The sequence below is a fragment of the Homo sapiens genome, chromosome 8 (genome assembly GCF_000001405.40).
Source record: "Homo sapiens chromosome 8, GRCh38.p14 Primary Assembly".
Lineage (NCBI taxonomy): Eukaryota > Metazoa > Chordata > Mammalia > Primates > Hominidae > Homo > Homo sapiens.
The window spans coordinates 47,016,964-47,037,980 of record NC_000008.11 but is presented as its reverse complement, the minus strand read 5'-3'; the positions used below and the strand labels follow the sequence as shown (position 1 = coordinate 47,037,980).

Below are 21,017 nucleotides of genomic sequence, written 5' to 3'. Positions count from 1 at the left end.
AATTTAAGTTGGGATTTGAGGCTTTACTTTCTTTGGATTCATACTGCTCAACAAAGACAGCAGGAATTTTTCAGACTTTAGCTTTTACGGATTTTAAGGTAAGAATTTGGATTTTTTGGAAAGATTTTAATCTTTGAATTTAATTATATCTATTGGGAAATTATTAATGAGAGGGAAATTATATTTAATTTTGGAGTATCAATAAATGTTGGCATATGATTATTGAACTATTTTATGGTCATTGAACCTCATTGCAGAAGCTTTGAGAGGCTATACTAGGCAATATGGCTGGATACAATTTAAGATAGGAAACAGAACAGAAGTGAAATTTCAGCTTTAAATTCAGAATGGTCATTAAGATCTTTCAATTAACATACCATTCGGTTTCATTTCAAAGCCAAGAGCAAAACTAAATTCTTTCAGTAGAAAGAAATATCCCAGGAAATCCCAGGAAGATCCACAAAAGAGTATGGAATGGCAGTTATTTTCTTATAACAAACATTTCTTTATTATGGTGAATGTATATATGATACATTCTGTTCTAATGATGCCTCGTGGAGTAATCTTAGAGGACATTTAAATAATTACAGAAACACGCTTAGACTAAAGTTTTTAAAAGTGTAACAAAAAATAATTTTTTTATTCAAAGGTAATGGCAAAAGTACAGAAAGTGATCATTATGTTAGCACTTAGTCTTCATCTGAAACATGGAAAGTTTATTTTGCTCTAGATTTTTTAAGCAGCTTGGTCCTATAAACATTGAAATGTTAAAAAAAAAAGTTTATGATTTTTGTCTTTTAGCTGAATCTTGTTTGCTGCTTCCATTGCCAGGTGTGAAAAAGTGGTGATCAGACTTTGGCCCTTTTGTGTTTTTTTCTTAGATCAAAGTAAAGACTTAGTTTGGCAGCTCTTCGAGCATAGGCCCTGGGAAAGAGGCTGGAAATCAAGTATGCTTTTTATGCCCTCTGAACTGTCTGTACTGAGGCTTTCCAGAATTTCCCTCACTTGCTGCTACTTTGCATACTTGTCTCTGGAAAATGAATAACTAGTACATTGCAGAGATTTTATTTTAATTTGGGGCAAGGTTTGTGGCATAAGGTTAGACCTGTTTGTAGCCTCAGTGTGGAAGACATGCTCTTCATGTTTTTTTATTTTTTTATTTTTTTAATTTTTAGATTGCATAACTCACTTAAAGGGAAAAGAAGTTTGAAGAATCTGCAGTTACCTGGCCATTTTGTTCTATAGTATTCTAGTTTTTTAGAATGTTTCAGCTTCTCCTTTAAAAATGTCTAGCATGTTTATTTGGTCAATGAATTGGCACCATGGTAGGTACTGAAAAAGAATGCCATGTATATTAAAAGTTATCTCTAGACATTTAGTTGCAGGAAGAAAATCTGAAAAAATCTCATCTAGGTATCAAATTTTAGTAGTTGTAGGGAAACTGCATATTTTTTTCTTTTTTCAAAGAGGATTAAATGAAATGTTACATAATCACATAATCAGCACTTAACATTCCACCACGCATATGATGAGTATCCAACAAATGTTGGCTTTTATTGTTACTACTCTTTTATTCTGTTCAGCCAGCTATAACCTAAGGCACACGATTTCACCCTGTGCTTGTATAATGCCTCTTGGTCTTTCTCTTTCACTTGCTCTCCTCCCACCTCACTCTCATTCTTCATCTTTCTCTTTCCACTTGCTGTGGCCAACTACATAGTCATCCTCCAAGTCCTATACCATTTTCATTTTTATCTTTTCTACCAATAACTGCCAAGCAAGTAGTACAAATTTGTATGTTTATTCTTACGAGTAAGAATTTTTTATTAAATATTGAGGCATGTTATTAACTTAAAAATTACTACTTTAGTTTAGACTGAAAGTATAAATACAAGTCACACAAACATTGTTTTGGAGGAAATTCATCTAATTTTCATGAGCTTATCTGCCCATGGACTTACCAGACTGTATACTGCAGAGAAAAGCCTGCTTCTGTTTTTCTGTGACACAATTTTGTATTCATAGAAATAATGCATATGAATGACTTCTTGGCATTTTCCTCCAATCTGGTCCTATTTACTCTTTAATGTAGAAGTTCTACAAAATTTGAGCCATTTTGGATGACATTTTGACTCATATTCATCTGGGTGGTTTTTTTTTTTAATCCAATAATTTCTGGGAAGATGTTTCACATCTCTTCCTAAAGCTTTGTGTTTTTTGGAAGTCAATCTGTACTTTCATGGATGCTTGAAAGTCAGGTTACTGCTGTTTCCAATATCTGGGCCATCTCTCAAGGACATTTGCTGATTACCACGTTAATGCTTAAAAACTAAAGTTTTTTATGAATATATCACATTAGTGTTCAGAATTAAGTCCTGACTTTGATCCAATAACCAAAGTATAATCATGGATATGATTTTTTCAAGAAATTAGAATTTCCTGGCTGAAACAGCATTGAGCCTGACTGTCAAGGGAAGGAGTTTACACTTTAACAACATTCTAAAGGAGGAATAAAGAGGGTTTACTTGATGATTTCAGAACACCAAAGGAAATAAAGTGGGCCTGATTTAGTCAATGATTCTTTAACATATGAAGAAGGGGAGATAAAGTTTTTACTTTAAAAAAAAAGTTTTTACTTTTACATCTTCAAAATACAAGATGACACTAATTTCCCATTTTAAAATTTTAACACATTGTTCTTTTACATATTTTTTTCAAGATTTTAAACTGTTAGGGGAGGTATGGTTACAACCTTTCCTCAAATATGGACTCATGGAATATAAAACTAGTATTACTGCACTAAACAAGAATCCATAGGGGGAATAAGATTTCTAATTTTCATTGCTTATATCAGGGCTCTAATGATTATAAGGTAGAATGTTTAGTAATTTTGTTCACAATGCAGATTGTATCTAATTACTAATTTTCTATTATGTTAGAAATGGAATTTGCATTTCCCAAAATGCCCACAAAATAGAATTTGGCTAAACATTTCCATGATCACATTTTCTATGATGTTGGTTTTAAAGTGACTTGAGATTGTGAAATCCTTCTATGTTGGTTTTATAGCTCTGAGGCTCTAAACTCTCATAAGTTTTGAGTAGGACCTGGAAATGATGTGATGGCATCAGATTAAACATGTCTGTTAGAGTTAATTTTTTTTTCTATATTAGTCTACAAGTGTTAGAATGCCTATACCAAAGGACTGGAGGCAAAGATGACATTTATTTTCCCATTCAACTCAAAATGTCTACTGGTAGCCTAGCTTCTTGTAAAGCTGGATTCTGGACTCAAACAGAGGTCTTTCCCTTTTCTTCTTTCCTTCCTCCCTCCCTCCTTCCCTCCCTTCCTCCCTTCCTTCCTCCCTTCCTCCCTTCTTCCCTTCCTTTCTTTCTCTGCTTCTCCTGTCTGCCTCCCACTGCATTGGCTTCATATGAAAGTTCTCCATATAACTTATAAAATTCCTAGGCTCTCTTTGCTTGATGAGAAGATGACTGCAGCAGTTTTAGGCTCAGATGAGCACAAGAGTGAAGCCCAGTGGGAAACAGTGAGCCCTTTTACTTGCAGGGGAATCACTCTGTGTCCACAAGCACCAAGGCCAGGGGAATATAATATGCTTACTGGCTTGCACGTGACACATGTTGTGCACCTTTGGAGCAGGGGTAGAGCTCACCCAAAACACATACACTAGATTGAAGGAGGAACAATCTCCAAGTTAAAATTGGGTGAGGGGAGTTATATGAGAATTGATGGGGCAAAAGGATCTTACTGTAGAAAAGTTTTATATATTCCTGAGCCTAAGCATAAAGAGTGCTGGGTTCACAGGGGCTCTTTCGACTTCTTACCACATTATTTTTTGAATGACTATTTTAAAAACTTTGGACAGAGGATTAAGATGGTGTACAGGAGGCAGGACTAGCTTGCAGCTCCCACTTGGATACAGCAGCATGTGGAGACTCACATTATGAACTTTTGCTTCAAGATCTACCACAGCAACATAGCAGGAAAGCTGAGAGAATTCACAGACCCTTTGAAGAAACTGGATTGCTGCTACAGCCTCCCCGAGGTGGTGGAAAACTGTGTCTGTTACTTTCTCAGTGCAGTGACTGGTGGTCTAGGGCAAGTTCTTGCCCTGCTCACTAGCTGTGGAGGGCATTGTGGGAGTCAGACTGGTCTTAGGGGCTGGGTGGGAATGGCACGAGGCCTGTGACTGCTGGCATTCCTGGTGGTCTTTCTCTACCCACCCTGGTAGTCAAAGACAAAGGTCATAATCTCTTGGGAGCTCTATGGCCCTGCCCACCACCTGAAAAACCTGAATACTTAGGTTTTGCCCAGGTGACCCTAGGGCAAGTTTACTTTCTCCCTATAGTACTGCAGCTGATGCAGTCATGAAAGTGCCACCTCCTAGCTGGAGGCCAACCAACACAAAACCCCCACACTAAAAAACACAACCAAGGACCCTCACAGAGTCCACTTCACTTGTCATTCTACCTCCACTGGAGCAGATGCTGGTATCCACATCTGAGAGACCTGAAGATGAATCACATCACAGGACTCTTTGCAGACACTCCCCAGTACCAGCCCAGAGCCCAGTAGCTCCACTGGGTGGCTAACCCCAGAAGACCAAAAACAATCACTGTGGTTTGGCTCTTAGGCAGCCCCATTCCTAGAGGAAGGGGGAGAACAGCACATCAAGGGAGCACCCCATGGGACAAAAGAATCTGAACAGCAGCCTTTGAGTTCCCAGATCTTCCCTCTGACATAGTCTACCCAAATGAGAACAACACTTTTGGTAATAGGACAAAACAAGGTTCTTTAACACCCCCAAAAGATCACATCAGCTCACTAGCAATGGATCCAAACCAAGATGAAATCTCTGAATTGCCAGAAAAAGAATTCAAAGGTTGATTATTAAGCTAATAAAGGAAGCACCAGAGAAAGGTGAACTCTAACTTAAATTAAAAACATGATACAGGATATGAAAGGAAAAATCTTCAGTGAAATAGCACAAATAAAAAATGATCGCAACTTCTTGAAATCAAGGACACACTTAGAGAAATGCAAAATGCCTTGGGAAGTCTCAGCAGTAGAGTCAGACAAGCAGAAGAAAGAACTTTAGAACTCAAAGACAAGGTTTGTGAATTAACCCAATCCATCAAAGACAAAAAAGAATTTTAAAAACTGAACAAAACCTCCAAGAAGCTTGGGACTATGTTAAGGATCCAAACCTAAGAATAATTGGTGTTCCCAGGGAAGAAGAGAATCTAAAAGTCTGGAAAGAATATTTGAGGGAATAATTAATGAAAACTTCCCCAGTCTTGCTGGAGATATAGACATACAAATACAAAAAGCTCAAAGAACATATAGGAAATTAATCGCAATAAGATCATCACCTAGGCACACTGTCATCAGGTTATTTAAAGTCGAGATGATGGAAAGAATCTTAAGAGTTGTGAGGCAAAAGCATGAGGTAACCTATAAAGGAAAACCTATCAGAGTAACAGCACATTTCTCAGCAGAAACCCTACACACTAGAAGGAATTGAGGTCTTATCTTTAGCCTCTTTAAACAAAACAATTATCAGCCAAGAAGTTTGTATCCAGCAAAACTAAGCTTCATAAATGAAGGAAAGATACCATCTATTTCAGACAAACAAATGTGAGAGGATTCACCACTACCAAGCTGTCACTACAAGAACGGCTAAACGGAGCTCTAAATCTTGAAACAAATCCTCAAAATACACCAAAATAGAATCTCCTTAAAGCATAAATCTCACAGGACCTATATAACAATAACACAATGAAAAAACAAAACAAGGTATTCAGGCAACAAATAGCACGATGAATAGAATAGTACTTCACATCTCATTACTAATGTTGAATGTAAATGGCCTAAATGCTCCACTTGAAAGATACAGAATGGCAGAATGGATAAGAATTCACCAACCCCTATCTCAATAGATATTGGAAAAAATGAATAAAGAAGTAACAAAGATTTGAAACTTAAGGTAGATGGTACCAGCAATCTGCTTTTCAGAACCTGTAAACATTTGCCTATTCTGACAAAGAATTCCTAACCAGCCTGCCTAATCATAGCTCTTAAAATATTGTTACACATGGTGGTTCATGCCAATATTATAGCCCCTATGGGAAAGCTACTGCTGAAAGTATCGCTTTGATATCAAATTGTATCTCCTTATCTGTCTCATGTTAAGCCTTTTTAAAAATTCTTCCATTCATTTCATAGAGATATTTGGGAACAACATTAGCTGTTCACTACACATTCAAAAATAATCTGACAGAGAACAGTGTGTGTTCATCTATGAGCTTTCTGTTTTTTTTTTTTTTGAGATGGAATTTTACTCTTTCACCCAGGTTGGAGTGCAATGGCGTGATCTCAGCTCACTGCAACCTCTTCCTTCCAGTTTCAAGCGATTCTCCTGCCTCAGCCTCCCGAGTAGCTGGGATTACAGGCACCCGCCACCACAACCAGCTAATTTTTGTATTTTTAGTAGAAACAGGATTTCAGCATGTTGGCCAGACTGGTCTCCAACTCCTGACCTCGTGATGTGCCTGCCTTGGCCGCCCAAAGTGCTGGGATTACAGGCTTGAGCCACCAGCCCAGCCTGAGTTTTCTTTTCTCTGGATTAGAGTAAAACTAATAGCTTGTGCCATGTAAAGTGAAGGCTGCATATGTGAAATGTTATTTACTGGGATTACTATAAAATGTGGGCATGTAATGGTCCATGCCTCATAGAGTGGAGTGCTATTCAAGTGAAGTATGAGTAGTTCTAAACTAAGTATGATTGGGTTAATGAGAATGTGTGTGGATCAATTTAGATAATGTCTGATTGAGGATAAGAAATATCAAATATTACCTGTAATTTTTTCAAAAGGCTTAGAAGAGGAGACATGCTGTCTAAATGTGTATAAGGGTCATCATCATTCCTTTATTATATATTCCTTAGCTTGCAAAGTTTTGCATTTTTTGGTGTTTTTTGTTTGTTTATTTGTTTTGTTTTTGAGAGAGGATCTCACTCCTGTCCCCCAGGCTGGAGTGCAGTTGCGGGATGTCTGCTTACTGCAGCCTCCATCTCCAAGGCTCAAGTATGCCCAAGGTAGAAACAAAAATATAGAAGACAATTCCACTGACTTCTCAGCTGTGGTCTGATTCTGTGAACATATTCTGGTTTGGCAGACCGTCTTGGGCCTTCAGATGATGAATGAAGGAAATGAGTTGGGAACCAGCTGACTCCTGTCATAAATGCTGTTTTCTAATCACAGCCGTGAGAGTTGCCTCTGCTCACTCTCTCTTTGTCACCTACTTTCCTCCTCTGTATTAGGAAACCAGCATAAGGAAAAGGGAATTTATTAACTTGTAAAATTTAAAAATTTCAGGTTGGAATGGCTTCAATCACATATAGTTGCTCCACTCTTTGCTCTTCTTTTCCCTGTTTTTTTCATTCCACTCCCCCCAACCCCCAGCTACCATCTGTCGATGCGGTGAAAAGTCATCAGTCTTTTCTAATATTCCTGTAAAGGACCTTAATTGATTGGTCTGGATTACATGCCCACTTGACTGACAGCTCCGTAAGAATCACATGGCCCACATGTAGTGTGCTTGTCAAAAGAAAAGATCTTTGGGCATATTTAAAATGTAACCCTTGCTCGTTACATCTTCCTTGAAAGTATCTGGACTGCAGCATTGCCTCAGGCCAATGTTCTAGCTGCAGTAAGAACTCCCCTACTTAGTGCAGTGAAAGTGTACCACATAATAATTATAGATAAGGACTAGATCTACAGTCTACAGATCTTCAACTTAAGTCTCAGTTGGGCTAATTGCATGCCTGACCTGTTGTTCCCATCTGTATTTCATTTCATTTATACTCCTATGGCTAAGCTTTAGGGTGGGCAGTTTGACCTCAGAAAGATCTCTCTCTCTCTCTCTCTCTCTGTGTATGTCTCTCTCTGTCTCTCCCCCCTCCCCCCTCCCTCCCTCTCTCCCCCCACCCCACCTCTCCTTTCTCTCCTTCTTCCTCCCTTCTCTCTCTCCAAATATGACTGGATTTCTGTTTACCTATTGCATACATTGGTTGCTCGAAAGCCTGAAATGGAGGCATTCAACAGAAATCTTGGGACTAAAATTACTGTGCTCATGCTCACAGTTGGGTCTGAGGATGCTTGCTCATAATACTAATATGTGGTCATATAATTTTGCTGATAGTGAAATCTCTAGATGTAGCTAATTTTTGACTTTCATTAATTTCCTTCTTGCCAAGTATACTGAGTCTTCTATAGCGAGCACCTGGGAAGATGTGGAGAAGAATATAAGAAGAAAGGAGTTCTGGGTAAAAAAAAATCTTGATGCCAAGTATTGAAACCTATTATAGAGCTAGCTCAACAGTGTACTGTGAAGTTTACTTATATGCATGATTTTAGCATTTCCAATTGAACTTTCTTTAAAGATCAAGGCCATTATATTGATTGACACAGTGAGCATACTTTTCTTTGGTCTTGAGAAATAGACTAGTGATATGTTTCTCTCCTGTTATGAAAATCCTATTACTTTTACTTTTGAGAGAATCAAATTTGGTTTATTATAGCCTTACATTGATACTTCTTACCCAAGTTTTGGACAGCATTCTCAAGCATATTTAACATTTACTTTGGTAGCAAGGCTGGGGTCCTATCTTACTAAGTAAATATGCATCAGATACCAAGAAAGTATTTCATACTCACCTGGTATATAAATACCTGGCTTTTAGGCATAATTTCTATGCTGTTAATTCTCTTTTGGGGAAGTAGGATAGACAGTAATCCATTCCTGGTGGGTAAGGAGGAGAGATAGCTGAGAAGTTTGAAATATTAGAAATTTAAATTTCCATCTCATACAATTAGAAAATAGGACAGACGATTACAAAAACAACTACGGACATTAGAAAAATATTCCTTGAAGATCAGGCATCTGTAAATCAGACACATAATCTTCACATTATTTGAAGTTTCAACAACTGAATATTGGTAAAATTAATGATGCCAGCCCCTCAGGTCCTGAACTTCCTTACACAAAGTGTCCTTCACTTCACCTCGGGAGTCACTCTCAGGATTGCACCTTGCATCTTGCCATTATCCACAACTTCACCTCCAAAGTCACAAAAATTAGCATTCTGCCTACTGACTACAACCTCCCATCATTCAAGACCACGCGATTATCACTTCCCACCATTCTCAAGCCCACTGGTGCTGATGGACAACTCATGCTTTACTTTCTTCCAGTGCATCTGCTCTCCCTTTTTAGCATTTCCACCTGAGATTTCTCATTTTCTCAATAATGAATCCCTCCACTAGTATTTTGGATCCCATTTTCCTCTTCCTTCTCTAGTACCTTACATTATTAATAATCCCTTCTCAATTTTGTAATTTTTATTTCTGACTGCCTCCTTCTTTTATATTTTAAACATGTTAAAGACTCTTTCATCAAAAATAACTACTTTGGTTCTCACATAGCACTCCAGTTACCCTTCTGTATTTTCTCCACACTTTTTGAAAAATTATTTGAGCTCATAGCACCATTTCCTCACCTCCCACTTACTGCTTAATCCATTCCCATTTATCGTCTGCCTATTCTGAATACCTTTCACTGAAGTCACTGGTTACTTCTGAGTGGTTTGATCCATTGCAGTGTCTCTGCCTCATTTTCTTAAGCTCTTACCATCATTCAGTGTGATAGGCTGCTTACTCCCCTCTGAGCCATTCTCTATGTCCTCAACCCCTATCACTGGGCCTTGCTAAGCTGAGATTCAATTATTCCAGGAGACCTTTCAATGATCTTCAAGGAGACTATTGAAAATTTGCCATGAAACATATTTTCTTTCATTTGGAAAAAGATGAGATTGACAAGCCATCAATTAGTCCTGAAGTATGGCATGACAAGGCTCTGTGAGTTTAAAGTGATAGAGTCAATCAGTCTTTCACTCATGGTTTCTGCTTTCCTTTTATCAGTATTTAGAAAATCAGTTTTCATTGCAAGGTTATACAAATATTTAGAAAATCAGTTTCCATTGCAAGGATATACAAATATCTGTGTTTACTTTTGTGTTTCTATAGCTTGATTTAAAAATGTAATCTTTAATCTTGTGAAATTTGTTCTGTAATAAATATTTTGGAATGTACTTAATTATTAGCAGATTGCCCCAATATTTTCATTGAGTAACTCATGTTTTCCTGTTGATTGCAAAGGCCAACTATTATAATATTTCATTCCCATCTTAATAAATACAACTCGTGAAGATCCTTACTCTCTTTATATCATGATTACTTCCCTCTTACATGTTGCATAGAATGTAGTCAAAAGAAATCTAGACACCACCTACTTCCATGGCTGTGTAAACCAAAAGAGACATTGAATCTTTCCATTAGTAATATCACAGGTATTCAGTTCTTCATCCTACACTTGTGTTCTTTTTTATGGATAATTTTTTTTTTTAGAAGGAGCTTGGAAATTTTTTATTGTTCTTGCCAAATCTTACAGCAATTTAATGTATATGAGAAAACAAAATACCACCTCTTCTATTACTGTCAAACATCAGCCTAAGAACCCTGTTTTTCTTTTTGTAATTTTTTTCTTTTACTATCTCTTTCCGGAAAAAGTGCTAATATGTTTACATTTCAAATATATTTTTTTTTTCCTGCTGGGAGTCAGGCCAGTAAGAGGAAAGCAAAATGGCAGGAGAAGCAAATAGTGATGTAGGCAGAATCAATGACACTGCTAGAATAAAAACTTTATTTCTCATATGCCTTATAAGTACCATCAGAAGAGATGCAATAAGAAAAACACTATCTAGGTTCTCAAAAGCCTAAAATCCAGTAAAAGGAGGAGAAAAGTATATAAATGTGTGTATGTTAAAAATGTAAAATAAACTAAAAAAATATACAGAATGTATCTTGAAAGATAAAATTAATTTTGATAGGTAGAGATTTGAAGAAGAGAATTGTGAGCACAAGGAAAGAATAGGTTGTATGAAGCATGAGAAATTATTAGGTAAGAGTTGGAGGTCTAACTGACTAAAACATTGGAATATATACATATATTTATATATATGGAACAGGAAAAAGAAGATAGAAATATAGGTTGGAAACTCCTGCACTCTCATGGTAAACATAAATTTTGATTTTCTCATACTCCTCTGACTGACTCTTTCAATCTTCTTACTGAGTTGTTCTTCTGATGTTCCCTGAGTTTTATCCTTGACCCAACATTCAAGACATTCTCTATGGTCACGTAGACTAATCTCCTTTATGTGTGATGCCATCAACATACATCCTGATAACTCTCAAATGTGTTTCTCTAGTTTGAATGACTAAACCCGTCTCCTAAGATCTACATCCATGTTTCCAACTACTTAACAGGTGTCTCATCTCAAATACCCCCAAATACCCCAAAATTAACATGTTGCAACTTGCTTCTTCTCTAGATTTAGTGATACTATCATTTTTCTGTTATGAAAGTGGGTACCTTATTAAACATACTCTTTGTACAATGAAGGAAATTGATCTAATAAAATATTTATTAAAGCAATTCAATAAGCATAGGAGACCATCTTCTAAGCTTTGCAACCCCCTTCTCTTTTCATAGGGCATGAAACCAGCAGCCATTTGACCTAAGGGCAGCTGGTCTATGTGCTAAGCAGTTGTCTGCAAGGAAGGCTGGTGCAAAACTCTGAGCAAGGGGGAAAAATAATGACCAGGCCAGCGAGATAATATCAGGAAATGAAACTTGAAATGTGGAAAAAGTATTGAGCAAATGACTCAGAAGTCAGAGAGAAGTACATTAGCAGAAGTCATTAGCAAAAGTACAAAGAGACAAAGAGTGAAAGGAGAGTGGTTGAGTTGCATAAAGAGAGATGTACTGGAGTTGAGTAAAGCAATTCCTATGGCCCACTATAGATCTCTAAACCTAGTAAATGCCTGATGTTCAGTAGGTACTCCATAGATTTGTGTGGATTTTCTCACTTGGAAAGAGATTATGTGGCCCCTAGAGCTTTCTGACTTTTCAAGCATATGACTCTGAGAAAAGAAGGAAGTATAGAAGGAACGGATACAGGATAAGACATTAGAAGTAATTGGGTCTAAATTAGTGTAAAAATCAAAAGGATAAACATAACAGAAAAATTTGGAGATAGACTCTTCAATACTTACGCAATACAGATAAAGGAAAAATAAAAGATGACTCCAAGTGACTGCACTTGAATAGTCTGAGATAAAGCTAAATCTTCAGTAACATTATGGAAGTTTGGAGGAGGAGTTGGTTGGAGATGATGTGGATGAGTTTGGTTTTATAAATAGGGGTTAGAGACAAGATAAAGAATATTTCTCATGAAGGAAAGAAGTATTAGTTGAATATATTAATAGTATTCTTCATAATATCTCATATTAAATACCATACAGAGTACACTAATGAATACTATTAATAAGAAAATATATTTATATTTAAAGATGTATTAAAACTATAAATTTCTTTTCAGATCATTTTCTGTAAGCTGTCAAACAGAATCTGGTATTATTATTTGTGGCATAAATTGAAATATTGTTATAAATTACATCTCATGGTTTTATTTCTCTGGTAAATGTTGCAGTTTCCTGATTGACTCCTATATTATAATGCCCTATCGGTTAGCTGTAATTTCTTATTGAGAAGACATTATCAATCCTAAGCTCCTTCATCTTAGTCAATCACCAAAATTAGTGGTGCTTATTTTCTGAAATGAATCGTAAAAGTCATTTTATAATTTGTTAAAATAAACACATTAATTTTTAATTAATTTGTTACCATATTAGAAATGTTTTCTATAATCATAATTACTAATCATTCTATCAAAGATTTTCCCCTCTCACACATAACCAAGGGCTTCCTAATTTGACTGCCATTTTTATTAGAGTGTTGTTCATCAGTACTATTACTTGTTGTGATCAATATATAATATAATATAATATAACATGATTACATATTTTCATTAGATTTATTATGATAGACAATAACTCTGTTAGGCCATTGGTCCTTTGGCATTGAGCACATTTCTGCAATTGGCCTATTGCCATCACATTTGCAAATTTTTCTTGGTTAGAAATTACGACATATTTTTTCCCTTGGGCCCAAGTTTTGTTGCCTATGTAATGAGGGAGCAGGGCTAGGTGATATTTAAGATCTCTTCACATCTAATGTTGGTTAATTTTTTTTTTATTATACTTTAAGTTTTAGGGTACACGTGCACAATGTGCAGGTTAGTTACATATGTATACATGTGCCATGCTGGTGCGCTGCACCCACTAACTCATCATCTAGCATTAGGTATATCTCCCAATGCTATCCCTCCCCCCTCTCCCGACCCCACAACAGTCCCAGAGTGTGATGTTCCCCTTCCTTAGTCCAAGTGTTCTCATAGTTCAATTCCCACCTATGAGTGAGAATATGCGGTGTTTGGTTTTTTGTCCTTGCGATAGTTTACTTAGAATGATGGTTTCCAATTTCATCCATGTCCCTACAAAGGACATGAACTCATCATTTTTTATGGCTGCATAGTATTCCATGGTGTATATGTGCCACATTTTCTTAATCCAGTCTATCATTGTTGGACATTTGGGTTGGTTCCAAGTCTTTGCTATTGTGAATAATGCCGCAAAAAACATACGTGTACATGTGTCTTTATAGCAGCATGATTTATAGTCCTTTGGGTATATACCCAGTAATGGGATGGCTGGGTCAAATGGTATGTCTAGTTCTAGATCCCTGAGGAATCACCACACTGACTTCCACAATGGTTGAACTAGATTACAGTCCCACCAACAGTGTAAAAGTGTTCCTATTTCTCCACATCCTCTCCAGCACCTGTTGTTTCCTGACTTTTTAATGATTGCCATTCTAACTGGTGTGAAATGGTATCTCACTGTGGTTTTGATTTGCATTTCTCTGATGGCCAGTGATGGTGAGCATTTTTTATGTGTTTTTTGGCTGCATAAATGTCCTCTTTTGAGAAGTGTCTGTTATGTCCTTTGCCCACCTTTTGATGGGGTTGTTTGTTTTTTTCTTGTAAATTTGTTGGAGTTCATTGTAGATTCTGCATATTAGCCCTTTGTCAGATGAGCAGGTTGCAAAAATTTTCTCCCATTTTGTAGGTTGCCTGTTCACTCTGATGGTAGTTTCTTTTGCTGTGCAGAAGCTCTTTAGTTTAATTAGATCCCGTTTGTCAATTTTGTCTTTTGTTGCCATTGCTTTTGGTGTTTTAGACATGAAGTCCTTGCCCATGCCTATGTCCTGAATGGTAATGCCTAGGTTTTCTTCTAGGGTTTTTATGGTTTTAGGTCTAACATTTAAGTCTTTAATCCATCTTGAATTAATTTTTGTATAAGGTGTAAGGAAGGGATCCAGTTTCAGCTTTCTACATACGGCTAGCCAGTTTGCCCAGCACCATTTATTAAATAGGGAATCCTTTCCCCATTGCTTGTTTTTCTCAGGTTTCTCAAAGATCAGATAGTTGTAGATATGCGGCATTATTTCTGAGGGCTCTGTTCTGTTCCATTGATCTATATCTCTGTTTTGGTACCAGTACCATGCTGTTTTGGTTACTGTAGCCTTGTGGTATAGTTTGAAGTCAGGTAGTGTGATGCCTCCAGCTTTGTTCTTTTGGCTCAGGACTGACTTGGTGATGCAGGCTCTTTTTTGGTTCCATATGAACTTTAAAGTAGTTTTTTGCAATTCTGTGAAGAAAGTCATTGGTAGCTTGATGGGGACGGCATTGAATCTATAAATTACCTTGGGCATTATGGCCATTTTCATGATATTGATTCTTCCTATCCATGAGCATGGAATGTTCTTCCATTTGTTTGCATCCTCTTTCATTTCATTGAGCAGTGGTTTGTAGTTCTCCTTGAAGAGGTCCTTCACATCCCTTGTAAGTTGGATTCCTAGGTATTTTATTCTCTTTGAAGCAGTTGTGAATGGGAGTTCACTCATGATTTGGCTCTCTGTTTGTCTGTTGTTGGTGTATAGGAATACTTGTGATTTTTGCAAATTGATTTTGTATCCTGAGACTTTGCTGAAGTTGCTTATCAGCTTAAGGAGATTTTGGGCTGACACAATGGGGTTATCTAGGTATACAATCGTGTCGTCTGCAAACAGGGACAATTTGACTTCCTCTTTTCCTAATTGAATACCCTTTATTTCCTTCTCCTGCCTAATTGCCCTGGCCAGAACTTCCAACACTGTGTTGAATAGGAGTGGTGAGAGAGGGCATCCCTGTCTTGTGCCAGTTTTCAAAGGGAATGCTTCCAGTTTTTGCCCATTCAGTATGATATTGGCTGTGGGTTTGTCATAAATAGCTCTTATTATTTTGAGATACATCCCATCAATACCTAATTTACTGAGAGTTTTTAGCATGAAGGGTTGTTGAATTTTGTCAAAGGCCTTTTCTGCATCTATTGAGATAATCATGTGGTTTTTGTCTTTGGTTCTGTTTGTATGCTGGATTACACTTATAGATTTGCGTATATTGAACCAGCCTTGCATCCCAGGGATGAAGCCCACTTGATCATGGTGGATAAGCTTTTTGATGTGTTGCTGGATTCGGTTTGCCAGTATTTTATTGAGGATTTTTGCATCAATGTTCATCAAGGATATTGGTCTAAAATTCTCTTTTTTGGTTGTGTCTCTGCCTGGCTTTGGTATCAGGATGATGCTGGCCTCATAAAATGAGTTAGGGAGGATTCCCTGTTTTTCTATTGATAGGAATAGTTTCAGAAGGAATGGTGCCAGTTCCTCCTTGTACCTCTGGTAGAATTCGGCTGTGAATCCATCTGGTCCTGGACTCTTTTTCATTGGTAAGCTATTGATTATTGCCACAATTTCAGCTCCTGTTATTGGTCTATTCAGAGATTCAACTTCTTCCTGGTTTAGTCTTGGGAGAGTGTATGTGTCGAGGAATTTATCCATTTCTTCTAGATTTTCTAGTTTATTTGCGTAGAGGTGTTTTTGGTATTCTCTGATGGTAGTTTGTATTTCTGTGGGATTGGTGGTGATATCCCCTTTATCATTTTTTATTGCATCTATTTGATTCTTCTCTCTTTTTTTCTTTATTAGTCTTGCTAGTGTTCTATCAATTTTGTTGATCCTTTCAAAAAACCAGCTCCTGGATTCGTTAATTTTTTGAAGGTTTTTTTTTGTCTCTATTTCCTTCAGTTCTGCTCTGATTTTAGTTATTTCTTGCCTTCTGCTAGCTTTCGAATGTGTTTGCTCTTGCTTTTCTAGTTCTTTTAATTGTGATGTTAAGGTGTCAATTTTGGATCTTTCCTGCTTTCTCTTGTGGGCATTTAGTGCTATGAATTTCCTTCTAACACACTGCTTTGAATGCGTCCCAGAGATTCTGGTATGTTGTGTCTTTGTTCTCATTGGTTTCAAAGAACATCTTTATTTCTGCCTTCATTTTGTTATGTACCCAGTAGTCATTCAGGAGCAGGTTGTTCAGTTTCCATGTAGTTGAGCGGTTTTGAGTGAGATTCTTAATCCTGAGTTCTAGTTTGATTGTGCTGTGGTCTGAGAGAGAGTTTGTTATAATTTCTGTTCTTTTACATTTGCTGAGGAGAGCTTTACTTCCAACTATGTGGTCAATTTTGGAATAGGTGTGGTGTGGTGCTGAAAAAAATGTATATTCTGTTGATTTGGGGTGGAGAGTTCTGTAGATGTCTATTAGGTCGTCTTGGTGCAGAGCTGAGTTCAATTCCTGGGTATCCTTGTTGACTTTCTGTCTCGTTGATCTGTCTAATGTTGACAGTGGGGTGTTAAAGTCTCCCATTATTAATATGTGGGAGTCTAAGTCTCTTTGTAGGTCACTCAGGACTTGCTTTATGAATCTGGGTGCTCCTGTATTGGGTGCATATACATTTAGGATAGTTAGCTCTTCTTGTTGAATTGATCCCTTTACCATTAAATAATGGCCTTCTTTTTCTCTTTTGATCTTTGTTGGTTTAAAGTCTGTTTTATCAGAGACTAGGATTGCAACCCCTGTCTTTTTTTATTTTCCATTTGCTTGGTAGATCTTCCTCCATCCTTTTATTTTGAGCCTATGTGTGTCTCTGCACATGAGATGGGTTTCCTGAATACAGCACACTGATGGGTCTTGACTCTTTATCCAATTTGCCAGTCTGTGTCTTTTAATTGGCGCATTTAGTCCATTTACATTTAAAGTTAATATTGTTGTGTGTGAATTTTATCCTGTCATTATGATGTTAGCTGGTTATTTTGCTCATTAGTTGATGCGGTTTCTTCCTAGTCTTGATGGTCTTTACATTTTGGCATGATTTTGCAGTGGCTGGTACTGGTTGTTCCTTTCCATGTTTAGCGCTTCCTTCAGGAGGTCTTTTAGGGCAGGACTGGTGGTGACAAAATCTCTCAGCATTTCCTTGTCTGTAAAGTATTTTATTTCTCCTTCACTTATGAAGCTTATTTTGGCTGGATATGAAATTCTGGGTTGAAAATTCTTTAAGAATGTTGAATATTGGCCCCCACTCTCTTCTGGCTTGTAGAGTTTCTGCTGAGAGATCTGCTGTTAGTCTGATGGGCTTCCCTTTGTGGGTAACCCAACCTTTCTCTGTGGCTGCACTTAACATTTTTTCCTTCATTTCAACTTTGGTGAATCTGACAATTATATGTCTTGGAGTTGCTCTTCTCGAGGAGTATCTTTGTGGCGTTCTCTGTATTTCCTGAATCTGAACGTTGGCCTGCCTTGCTAGATTGGGGAAGTTCTCCTGGATAATATCCTGCAGAGTGTTTTCCAACTTGGTTCCATTCTCCCCGTCACTTTCAGGTACACCAATGAGACGTAGATTTGGTCTTTTCACATAGTCCCATATTTCTTGGAGGCTTTGCTCGTTTCTTTTTATTCTTTTTTCTCTAAACTTCCCTTCTTGCTTCATTTCATTCATTTCATCTTCCATCGCTGATACCCTTTCTTCCAGTTGATCACATCGGCTCCTGAGGCTTTTGCATTCTTCACATAGTTCTCGAGCCTTGGTTTTCAGCTCCATCAGCTCCTTTAAGCACTTCTCTGTATTGGTTATTCTAGTTATACATTCTTTTAAATTTTTTTTCAAAGTTTTCAACTTCTTTGCCTTTGGTTTGAATGTCCTCCCATAGCTCGGAGTAATTTGATCGTCTGAAGCCTTCTCTCAGCTTGTCAAAGTCACTCTCCATCCAGCTTTGTTCCGTTGCTGGTGAGGAGCTGCGTTCCTTTGGAGGAGGAGAGGCGCTCTGCTTTTTAGAGTTTCCAGTTTTTCTGCTCTGTTTTTTCCCCATCTTTGTGGTTTTATCTACTTTTGGTCTTTGATGATGGTGATGTACAGATGGGTTTTTGGGTGGATGTCCTTTCTGTTTGTTAGTTTTCCTTCTAACAGACAGGACCCTCAGCTGCAGGTCTGTTGGAGTACCAGGCCGTGTGAGGTGTCAGTCTGCCCCTGCTGGGGGATGCCTCCCAGTTAGGCTGCTCGGGGGTCAGGGGTCAGGGACCCACTTGAGGAAGCAATCTGCCTGTTCTGAGATCTGCAGCTGCGTGCTGGGAGAACCACTGCTCTCTTCAAAGCTGTCAGACAGGGATATTTAAGTCTGCAGAGGTTACTGCTGTCTTTTTGTTTGTCTGTGCCCTGCCCCCAGAGGTGGAGCCTACAGAGGCAGGCAGGCGTCCTTGAGCTGTGGTGGGATCCACCCAGTTGGAGCTTCCCAGCTGCTTTGTTTACCTAAGCAAGCCTGGGCAATGGTGGGCGCCCCTCCCCCAGCCTCGCTGCCACCTTGCAGTTTGATCTCAGACTGCTGTGCTAGCAATCAGCGAGACTCCGTGGGCATAGGACCCTCCGAGCCAGGTGCCGGATGTAATCTCCTGGTGCACCGTTTTTTAAGCCTGGCTGAAAAGCGCACCAGGAGCCCATTGGAAAAGCGCGGTATTCGGGTGGGAGTGACCCGATTTTCCAGGTGCTGTCTGTCACCACTTTCTTTGACTAGGAAAGGGAACTCCCTGACCCCTTGCGCTTCCAGAGTGAGGCAATGCCTCGCCCTGCTTCAGCTCGTGAATGGTGCATGCACCCACTGACCTGCGCCCACTGTCTGGCACTCCCTAGTGAGATGAACCTGGTACCTCAGGTGGAAATGCAGATATCACCCGTCTTCTGCGTCGCTCACACTGGGAGCTGTAGACCAGAGCTGTTCCTATTCGGCCATCTTGGCTCCTCCTCCCTCCTTTTATGGATAGTTTGTCGAGCTCATGTTAGCTTGGGCTTGTACCTGACATATTTTTTTTTCACTGTTCTCTTGCAGACCAACCTTTATGTACTGTTAGTGTTATACACTATTTTAGTTTAATTGGTGGATTAAAACAACTCCGATTTATTACCTTCCTTTTCTGAAATTTAGAAGTCTGAAATGGGTCTCACTTGGCTAAAATCAAGGTTTCGGCAGGATGGCATTTCTTCTGGACACTCGGGAGAATCTGTTTCTCTTCCTTTTTGAACCCCTAGAGGCCACCTGCATTCCTTGGCTCTTGGCCTCACTCTTCAGTCTTCAAAAGAAGCAACATCAAGTAGTCTTCCTCATGCTGCCATCTCTGTTTCTCCATCTTCTGTCTTCCTCTTCCACCTTGAAGAGGTTGGTGATTGCATTGGACTCATCTTGATAATCTAGGATTCTCTTTCCGTTTTAAGGTGAGCTGATTAAAAATTTTAATTTGTCTGCAACCTTAATTGCCCTAAGCCATGTAACATAATATATTCACAGGTTCCAGGAGTAAGCATGTGGACCTCTTTGGGGGACCATTATTCTGCCTATCACAGATACCCCTGTTGTCTTCATTTTTCCATTTTACTACTTTCATTTTAGGTTTATTCAAAGCTTTATGCATCCAATAAATATTTGAATGCTTTTATAGAAATACAAACAGGACATGGTCCCTGAACTTGAGGAGCTGATAATTTAGTAATGTCTTTCTTATAAAACGTTATAATTTATAACATTCAGTTTCATGCAGTCACCCGAGACTGTAGATAATTGTTCTAGATATTCTATTTTATTCTGTTCTCAATATTCCAGGTGTGTGTTTTGTGTGTTTTCATTTTATAGATTGGTAACTAGAAGTTTATTGAGGTAAAGACACTCTCACCTTGATGCACAATTTGAAAGATATGGAGGTGGTATGCAAATTTCAGTGTTCTTACTTGTCCAGTGTTCTTTACTCTATAATAGTGGATATATTCTAAGAAGTTCTTACTTTGTGTATAATGAATTAAAAATCTTGAATTTATTTTCCAATAATTCAAAGATATGTAAAACAAAATAGGAGTGAGGCTTACCCTGTTTTCACAGAAATTCAAATGAAACTAGAAAACTGAGGACAATGAATGAGAGAAGCCTTGTTTTATCCATGAGGTTTAGTGACGGTCATCTACAACAGTCTAAAAGAATAAGGTTAGATATTTATTGAAGTATTATTTGAAGGGAATGCAAAGTTTAGTGAATGCTATGGCTTTTCCTCTCTTCACCTCTTGGTGCCTTCTCACCCTTACCCAGAATACAAATGAGGGTAAGCTACCTTCTCCTCCCTGCAAAATAAAGCAGTCATAGAGACTATGAAGATCTTCAAGTGAAAAGCCTGTTACCTCACTCCCTACCTGAATGCTGGCCAAGATGTAGAAACTTGGTGAGTCAGCCCCATGCTGCTAGAGCTGAGAGAGAGAAGATTCTTGAAGGAATATGCCATATGTTAACCAGAGGAGATAATTGCATGATTATTACCTTAAGAATTCTGACAACAGGGCTTTGGTGGGACTTATCCACTAGCAAGGCAAGGAGTAAGGGGCACAGAATTTACATTATGTGGAAGGTAATGAGGGGATCACATGGATCAAGTAGATATTTCAGAGAAGACCTAGGCTTGAGTGATCTGGACAGGTTCCTCTCCACAGGGCAAAGAAACCTCATCCAAAGGA

General features: G+C 38.2%; 1 long non-coding RNA gene across 5 annotated transcripts in view; it reads right to left on the bottom strand.

Annotated features, from left to right (window-relative positions):
• LOC105375815 (uncharacterized) overlaps positions 1-21,017 on the bottom strand; it is an 80,550-nt gene that overhangs the window by 46,212 nt on the left and 13,321 nt on the right. For 3 of the 5 annotated variants that reach the window (XR_928840.2, XR_928844.2, XR_928843.1), the window contains exons 2-4: positions 8,739-8,823; positions 8,077-8,304; positions 7,064-7,333 (exon numbers count right to left, since the gene is read on the bottom strand). This is a non-coding gene — a long non-coding RNA (uncharacterized LOC105375815). Of the gene's footprint in view, positions 1-7,063; positions 7,334-8,076; positions 8,305-8,738; positions 8,824-21,017 lie in introns of those variants that run through there. The other 2 variants (XR_928842.3, XR_928841.3) reach the window with 1 other exon arrangement.